This window comes from Homo sapiens, chromosome 2 (assembly GCF_000001405.40).
Source record: "Homo sapiens chromosome 2, GRCh38.p14 Primary Assembly".
NCBI classification, from domain to species: Eukaryota; Metazoa; Chordata; class Mammalia; order Primates; family Hominidae; genus Homo; species Homo sapiens.
Window position 1 is genome coordinate 172,407,320 of NC_000002.12, and position 9,330 is coordinate 172,416,649.

The 9,330-nt window shown below is 40.2% G+C and overlaps 1 annotated feature.

Moving 5' to 3' along the window:
• Positions 8,341-8,842: an enhancer, noted in NCBI's record as "NANOG hESC enhancer chr2:173280388-173280889 (GRCh37/hg19 assembly coordinates)". NCBI's record gives its function as "activates a minimal SCP1, AML or CMV promoter by ChIP-STARR-seq in naive H9 embryonic stem cells {active_cell/tissue: H9 hESC(naive)}" and the evidence as "EXISTENCE:reporter gene assay evidence [ECO:0000049][PMID:30033119]".

The window sequence follows — 9,330 nt, forward strand, 5'->3', positions numbered from 1 at the left end:
CAAAACTAGTTATATGCTTCTTAGGTTTTTGACCCTTAAACAAGTATAATGGTAAAATACATTTATCAATTAAATATCCATAATTGTAAAAATCAGTGAAATTCAAATGAGGAATATTTTTAAAATGTGATAAATGATATTTTATGGAAACCAAATTGCTGGTGTTGGATTGAATAGGAGGAAGATGTGTTTGGTTGTTTCATGCTTCACTAGCTGGTTGTTGCTTTTGATCTGGAATATGATGAGCCGTTATTTGAGGCTTAATTGTTCCTATCACTGTTATTTTTAGCTCTTATATTTGTTTTTATCCATTGATCGACTATGTTGATTGTCCAATAAATTTAGTGCACTGTCTTGTATACGATGTTGTGTACAGTGTTGCATACGACATTGAAAGTTTAGCACCAGTTCTCTTGGAAACACAAACACAGATAATGAACTCAAGCCAGTATTTAGTTACAAGATGGTCAGCCTGATGGGCCAGAACACTCTGATATGACTTTTCTTAGATCATAATCCAAAGAAAAGCCCCGAATTTAAAAAATTATCTCAGAACTTGTGAATCTCAGTTTGAGAAAACATTACCCCAGCTTACTTCAAGTAGTAATTGATGTAAAAAAAAAATTCCAGGGTAACAGAAGAAATTGGGTAGTATTTTGTGATTATTATAAGTGAGACTTTGTGACATTGATCTATATTTTCAACACCCATCTTTGGCATGGACTGGCTGATCCTCCTTTAGAGATGGGCACTGCTAAGCCTATTCTGCAGATGAATAAATTGAGGCAGAAAACAGCACTCCAGGGGCATAGAGAAAGTTGTGGTGAAATTTAGGTTCGAGGTCAAAGTTGTGCCTAACTGAGAGGGAAAGTGAGGGGCAATGACAAAAATTGCTCAGCCTTGGCTTGCTCTGACACTATTTAAGCTGTACCTTTTTTCTTCCTCTGGCTAACCAGGACAAGGCATCCAGGACCACAATGCAGGGAGCCTCATCAGGCACTTGTGCTAAACAGGCACTCCCTGTACCTGACCCCCTGTGTCCTATTCAGCTACAAGGGATGAAATGGAAACTAATCGCTTTTCTGAGACCATGAGAACAAGCAGTCAGCTTGCAAGATGTTATCCCCTTCTAATTATAGGTCCACAAGCGGTGAATGCTTGCCATGGGAAGCTACTATTCTTTCCCAAATGCAGGTGTCCCTTCTTGAACAGCTGCCAGGAGCTCAGCAGCCTTGGAAGCCCTTCAGATAAATAGCACCTGAGGTTACATTGCCTCAGCTGTGGCATGTAGAGACACAACCCTCGGGTATCTGGGTGTGGACTTGCTTTAGTCATGGGGAGACTAGAGAGACTTGTCCTTCAAATCAGACCAACTTATAACCACCTCCCCAAACATCAGGGGAATAGCACCCTAGCCATAGTTACTATTGTAACCAAAGGAAATAACCAGAGCACCAGACTCTGCCAAGTAGATTCATTATGAGTGGTAAATAAGATAACATTTAGGATTAAATCGAACTTTCCTAGGCTTGAGACTTTTCTGCAACTCCACACAATAGCACTGGAAAATAATTTGGTTTTATAGTTCTTATTAACTATGGTCAAGGCTGGAGTCCTGTTTTTAAATTACCAGATTTGACTTGTTTGCCTGTTTGAGGTAACCTGCCAAAAGTAGTCACAGAAAACCAGGTTGCTTTCATTCTGCACTTACTATTTTTGTTTTTAGGACCCCAAAAGTGAGCTTAATGCATTATTAATAGGAAGTTTGACTTATGATCTTTAAACAGGAGCTTTTAAACATTAGTCAAGGTTTGAAAGCCAAATACTTATAAACATGTTCCTACGGGCATAAAAGGGAGGATGTAAACCAAACTGTTAACAATGATTATCTCAAGGGAGGGGCACTGGACAGGGTGGAAAATGTCACTTTCTGTTTTATACACTTCTATTGTCTAAGTTTCTTTGTTTAATACTGAGCATGTGACTCATACTTTAACTGTTTAAAAACAGTTTTTATTTAGAATAATTTCATTCACATATGAAAAATTAACCTGGATTCACACTGATGTCACAAGCAAGCACAATTCAAGGCATATTAGAATAAGTTGATTTGATCTGATTGACTTTAGGAAGAACTTGTGGAAATAAACCAATGTAATTTAGGGTAGAGCCTCTTCCTACAGCAGGAGGGGTGATTTTTCTCAGTCTCTTCTCAACAAGACCTCTGGTTTGAGAAATGGTGTGAAACCAGGCAGATTGCAAGCCCTTGTATGGAACCTTGGTGGCAGTGACTGGTGATTATTGTGCCCCATTAAGGCAGAAGATCCAGCCTCAGTGGAAGCCATGAAATTGCCTCAGCCTCTGCCAAGTGTTTGTTCTACAACTGCATGATTTGTATGCCACTGCAGAACCCTATGAATCCTAGTGTGTTGCGATGTTGAGAAGAAGAACATGCCACTCTCATTTTAATCTGGTTTTCTGGGGAAAGTACTTGTTAGGATTAGGGAGACTCACAAGCTGGGCCTGGCTCTGCCCCTTACCCTTTATGGGTCTCAGTTTCCTTAACTCTATACATAGGAGAAGACTGAATTTTACACGATCTCTAAGGTCTCTTTTGGCACAAAAATCCTTATGACCTCTGAAGTGGTTCCTAAACCAAGATTTTTGAGTAGTGAGTACCGTATAGTTCCTTTCTTGTCCTTATTGATTGACGGATTGAGACAGGGTCTTGCTCTGTCACCCAGACTGGAGTACAATGGGGTGATCATAGCTCACTGTAACCTTGAACTCCTGCGCTTAAGGGATCCTCCTGCCTCAGCCTCCTGAGTAGCTGGGACTACAGGTGCATGCCACTCTGCTCAGCTAATTTTTTTATTTTTTTAATTTATTTTTGTGGTAGAGTCAGGGTCTCACTAAATTTCCAGGACTGATCTCAAACTCCTGGTCTCAAGCAGTCCTCCTGCCTTAGACTCCCAAAGTACTGGGATTATAAGCATAAGCCACCATGCCCAACCTCGTTGTTTTTTAAAAAGCCCAACTTCAAGTAAACATAGCAACTCGGTCATTGTCATATATGTAGTCATATAGGTCTATGTTGTATGTTATATGTGTATGACATGTCAGTCAAAGAAAAGTCAGCCCAACCTGCTTTATAAGTATGGGAGAGGGAGGACCAAGAGACATGGAGGGCTCAGGGTTTCTCATGAAACAAGTATGTATTTGGGATTAAGATCTTGTACTCCATGCTCCCACATGGAGACAAGTCTGCCTTCAAGTTTCTCTTCATTAGCGCAGCACCTTAGAAATAAGGGCCATGTCACCCATTTTCCTTTAAATTACTCCTAGCTCAGGGGCTGAGTTGGTAGAGGGTGGCACCCTCAGTGATGTTCTTCTGGCCAAGCCATTCCTGCTCTGACGGGGCCACTCTGGAGCCAGCAGGTGGGTTCCTGAAGTAAGCTGATGACTCACTCGGTCTTGACCTGATTCCCTCAGGTATGGAATCTGTCCCAAGGAGGTCTTGTGGAGAGTGGGGAAGGGAAACTGCACATGAAGTGCCCAAACTCCTGGTCACTCTATATGTCAGGCTCAACTTGAGTCACTTGCAAGCATGGATGTGATTTGATGATGAACAGCCTGTTACATACTACATTGTACAAAATAAGAGAGGTCAGAGTGGCCTTCAGACATCATCCTGAAAGTGAACGCTAACTTGAACACCTCCTCTGACAGCCTTCCCTTCTTTGCTTTTTTCTTTCTCCTTGTTTTTTCTAATCTCCAGTTCTTCCTTCTTATCTGACTCATGACTTCCCATGGCACTCATGGATGGATGTCGTGTATTTTCCTATCTGCAGCTCAGATCCAAAGACAAAAAAACCCAACTGAGCCCTATCTGCCAACCATCCAAGACTCCCAGGTGTTTCTAAATTCTTTCCTGGATGTCTATCTCCAGGACTAAGAAGTTCTGGGTCTTCTTTTGCAGGCTGTCAACAGATTCCCCCTCATATTTGACAGAAAAGCTTTGAGCAAAGCTCAGTCTTACTTCTATGAATAAAAGAGATAATTGTGATCAGTGATTAAAACCATATACACACACGTGTGTATACACACGCACACACACGTGTGTATACACACGCACATACACACACGTGGGTATGCACACGCGCACACACACACGTGGGTATGCACACGCATATACACACATACGTGTGTATGCACACGCACATATACACGTGTGTATGCATACACATACATATGTATACACGTATGTGTATACATATATACAGACGTGTATACATATATACAGACATGTGTATACATATATAGACATGTGTATACATATACACAGACATATGTGTATACATATATACACAGACGTGTGTATACACACGTATACACACACGTGTGTATACACACGTGTATGTGTGTATACATATGTATATATGTGGGTGTATGCATATATATACACACATACATATGTATATATATGTGTGTGTATACATATATATATATATTTTGTTTTTTGTATTTTGTTTTTTGAGAGAGAGAGGATCTTGCCCAAGCTGGAGTTTAATGGTATGATCATGGGTCACTGCTGCCTCAACTTCCCAGGCTCAAGCAACCCTCCCACCTCAGCCTCCTGAGTAGCTGGGGCTACAGGAGCATGCCACCACACCCAGTTTGTTTGTTTGTTTGTTTATTATTTATTTTGTAGAGACAGAGTCTTACTATGTTGTCCAGGCTGGTCTTGAACTCCTGAGCTCAGTGATCCTCCTGCCTTGACCTCCCAAAGTGCTGGGATTACCGATGTGAGATACCATGCTCAGCTTCTTCCATATTCTTTGTTTTTGTTTTTGTTTTTTTATAAAGAGACAGAGTCTTGCTCTGTTGCCCCGGCTGGAGTGCAGGGGCATAATCTTGGCTCACTGCAGCCTTGACCTCGCCAGCTCAAGCAATCCTTCCTCCCACCTCAGCCTCCCAAGTAGTTGGGACTACAGGGAAGTGCCACCATGCCCAGCTAATTTTTTTGTTTTTATGTTTTGTAGAGACAAGGTCTCACTGTGTTGCTCAGGCTGGTCTTGAACACCTGGGCTCAAGCAATCCTCACACCTCAGCCAATACTCTTAAAGATAAAAAAGAAATCACCACTAGCTTTCTTCTCTCTAGACCACATAGCACAAACTCCCTGTGGCTTTACTTATAAGTCATACCTTAATAATTTTGATTATTATTGGAACCCTTGTCAGAAGCCGTATGTCTTTTCTTAAAAGGATGACTAAGATGAGATGGTGTGCTATGTAAGATCTGATTTTAAAAGAGCAAAAACAAAACCCCTAGCTCTTTGAAATCCATGATTTATATAATGCATTCATTTTCATATAGGCCAACATTATATTGGTTTTTTAAAACAATGCTTCCACATAGGTAGATTATTCTTAATTTTAGGTCATTTTTCTTTTTCCACATTAATATTTCCTCAACTTATTTTTGGGTGGGAGGATTCTGCCCAAAAGTTAACCATTTTTATTCATCTACTTTTTGCATCAGGTTTTTCTCTTCACAAGGAACAAAGACCCTCTTGAGTTATCTAAGGCCATGGGGCTTGTTGTAAGGGTCCTTGTGGACTACAATGGAACCAAGCACCACCAGAAATCTTGGCAGCTTGGCACAGGGCCACTGTCTGGCCTCTCATGTTCATTCATGTGTGTCTCCTCCCGTTCCCCTATTCTCTTTCATTCCGCATTTCTATCTCATTCATCTCTCTAAAGTGACCACCTTGCTCTGCTCCCTCAAAGCTCCTGTTCTCTGTGGCCTTGGCTTGCACATGCACTTGGCCACAATGATCTCTCTTCTCCTTTCCCCACATCGTAACTTTCCAACTTAAGTTCTGGTTGCCAACTGGGTCATTCTGTCTTCCAAAGCAAATTCCCAAGAGTGAGGATTTGATAGGACCAGCTCATTTTTTTCATTCCAGCCTGTGGAGTGACTGAGGCTCAAGAGTGACCCAGCACGTTGGGTCAGGTGTTCACCTATGTCCCTCTTCATGCTGGGCATGTGAAATTGTCATTCAAAGAACATGCAGCTGGGAGCAACTGATCAGGCATTGTGATTGATAAATATCTGGTACATCTTAAGTGAACCGAATAGTTTTCATAGAACTATTCTCCCCACTTTCTGAGAGGGAATTTTCATTATCTCCCAGAATATTAACAATTCTACTAAATTTATTGTCATATAAAAATTGGGGGCATATATTCTAATGCTTTTTATCCACCTAATAAATACTGATATTAAATAAGATTGATTGTAAAAATGAACCCCATGGGAGTTTCTTCTGAATATCCCAGGTGGATACTGTCCCATTGAACACTGCTACCTTTTGGGTTCAATCCATAAGCCAAAACTGTAACTCATACCAAAATAAAGTCAAAGAGTATACTTTTTCTTGATGGGTAACCTATAGAGTCCCAGGTTCTGGGAAGCGGTTGGGAGTGGGGGTTGCTTGCACAGGCTCTGGAGCCAGCCTGCCTGGGATCAAGTCCTGGCTTCAACACTTCTGAGCTGTATGGTGTGGGGGGGCTTTTGTGACCCCGCTGCTCTTCACTTTTCTTGTATATAAAATGGCACCGCTAAGAGTATTTGTGAGACAGGCTATTGTGAGGATTTAAAGAATTAATCAACCTAAGATGTTTTGAACAGTATCTACTACAAGGTAAATACTCCACAGAATAGTTACATTGTCACAATTAATTCCATAACCTTTTGTTGAATACCAACTATATAGCTTAAGCTAGTTTCAGGCGGAGTTCTGTGAATTTTACAATCACAGTGGTCTTTTTATTAAGCCATTTTTAAAATTTTATTTTTTTAAATTGACAATAATTGTACATATAACAGACATGTTTCAATACATATAATGTATCATGGTATAGGGTAATTGCCATATTCATCATGTCAGACATCACTTCTTTGCTTTGGGAACATTTAATATCCTCTTTCTAGCTGTTTGAATCTATATGTTATTGATTGTAGACATCCTACACTGATACAGAACACCAGCATTTATTCCTCCTATCTAGCTGTAATTTTGTATCCTTTAAAAATCTCTCCCTATGGCTGCCTTCCCCCTACTTTTCCGAGCCTTCAGTCACCTCTGTTCTGCTTTTTACTTCTATGAGATCAACTCTTTTTTAGCTTCCACATATGAGCGAGAACATGCGAAAATACAGATGGATTTCCTAGTCGCTTTCTATCAGTCTATGTGGCCATAATTTTATTATAGAAAGAAATTAGACAAGTTGCTATGCCAAGCTCTTTACAGAATCACATTGGTAATTTTCTGTCATCTTCATATGTATTATTTCATGAATTTCCTATTATGAATATTTCCAACTGCCGGGATCAAATTGAGAACAACTGCTTGATTTTTACTGTCTTCCAGAATATTAGAGACTTAATTTAATTAATTCCAATGAAAGTTTCCTTAAGTCAATATAAAATATTTTACAAAGATCATTCTGTGAATCTTACAGTGATGTTGTTCTTTGCATTTCCCCCACTGCATCACTTCTGGGTGTAGTGACTTGGAGCATAAATATATTGGTATGAGAGTCTATACTGAAATAGACACAGCAGGCCTTCTTGGATCCAAGTTCAATAAAAAATGAAGTTTGGCATTGCTAGTGATCATCCTGAACTAAGCTGCAAAAATTCTGCTCTAAGGTTTTGTCAAACTAAATAGACTTATATTACTAAGTATACATATCAGATTCACTGCCTATGAGAGGCAGACTCTCATAACCTAGTGGTAAACATTTTGATTAGTGAGAAGTGTTTTCACATCTGCTTATTTGAAGCACAAGTGTTTTTCTCCTCCTCACAGAAAAATTAGGATAAGGCAAATATCATCAGCTCCATTCATTTCCACTTGCAGTTTCAGCTAGTATGTAAATACAAGGCTCGGAGGACCAGAAGATGTCTGAAATTAACACAGTATTATAACTGCATTGCCCAATGCTAGGGACTGATGGGAAATTGGCATTCCTAATAGAGCTGTGGTGAATATTCATTTTTCCATCTGGAAACTAAGTATGTGTGAATTTAGGAGATTAAAAACTGGTGTGACTTCAGCAGTATAACTATATAAACTTTATAGTCTTGAGAGTGAAATTCAAATCAAAAATGTGTTTCTGTAAAAGTATTGAATGAGAACTAGAACTGAAACTAATTAAGTCCGTTTGTCAGAAGTAACATAGGGCACAATTACATTTTAAAGAGAACACAGGTGGGGGATCCAAGACCATACTTTGATCACTATTTTAGAGACCATAGGAACTTGGAGAAGTTCTCTGCTCAATTCCTCCACAGGATTCCAATTTCAATAAGAGTTGCCAGGATCTCCTTAGAAATACAGAATATTGGAGAAATGGAAGGAAACAGTAACTGGAAGACAAACGTTATGCCATAAATAAAATCCTGTAGTTAGAGCTTGGAGTGAAAACCTTCTGGGGATCGACAGCTCATTCCTCTCTTAGAATTGCTCTTTAGAAATTAATGGGCTTGGCTTTGTATCTCCAACTGTTCTTCACAAATGAACCAAACTGGGAATCAGTTGGAGTCACTGAAGCTTAACACAACTCCAGCTATTGTTTACATGGCTCCCATGAAACCCCTGTGGCAAACTGATTAGATTTACAGTTCATTCGATAAGCCTGTCTGCTCATGGCACATAAGGCAGTGAACCTTTTCACAAAATGAAACTAGAGCTGGAGAGGGGGGAAAACACAAAATCTTTAATGAAGAGGGAGGCTAAGAGACTTGGGTAGAAGATCTTTTAAGTTTGTAGAAAGCCTCCCTTGTATTGGAGTTCGTAGGCTCCACATTGAATTGACACTTTGGGACTTGCCCTCCTGCCTACCAGAAACTCTACAGTGCCATTTTCAAATTCTTTCTGATCATAGGTATGTTTAACGCCAATAAGAACTAAGGATTGGAAAAGACTCTTTAAAGTAAAGATGAAGTGGGCCAGGGAGCACCGTGTGGATCCATGGAAGTGATCACCAACCACACGATGTCAGACAGAGCTGCTTTTGTTTCTAGCTATCTCCCATCCCCACCCTAAACCAGAGGCTTGGGGGAAGTGTGTAAAACCTATCCCAGTGGCACATGCCTTGGACCTATTATTGAGTGGTTGGGAATTAGTCATGGAGCCATAAAGTCATCACCCCCAAAACTCTTTTTAGTCCCTTTTTAGCCAGTATAACTGATCTCACTTCTCAAAAAGCATGACTCAATCACTTTGTAGACCCTGGCCTAGCACTGCAGACTTGCTCC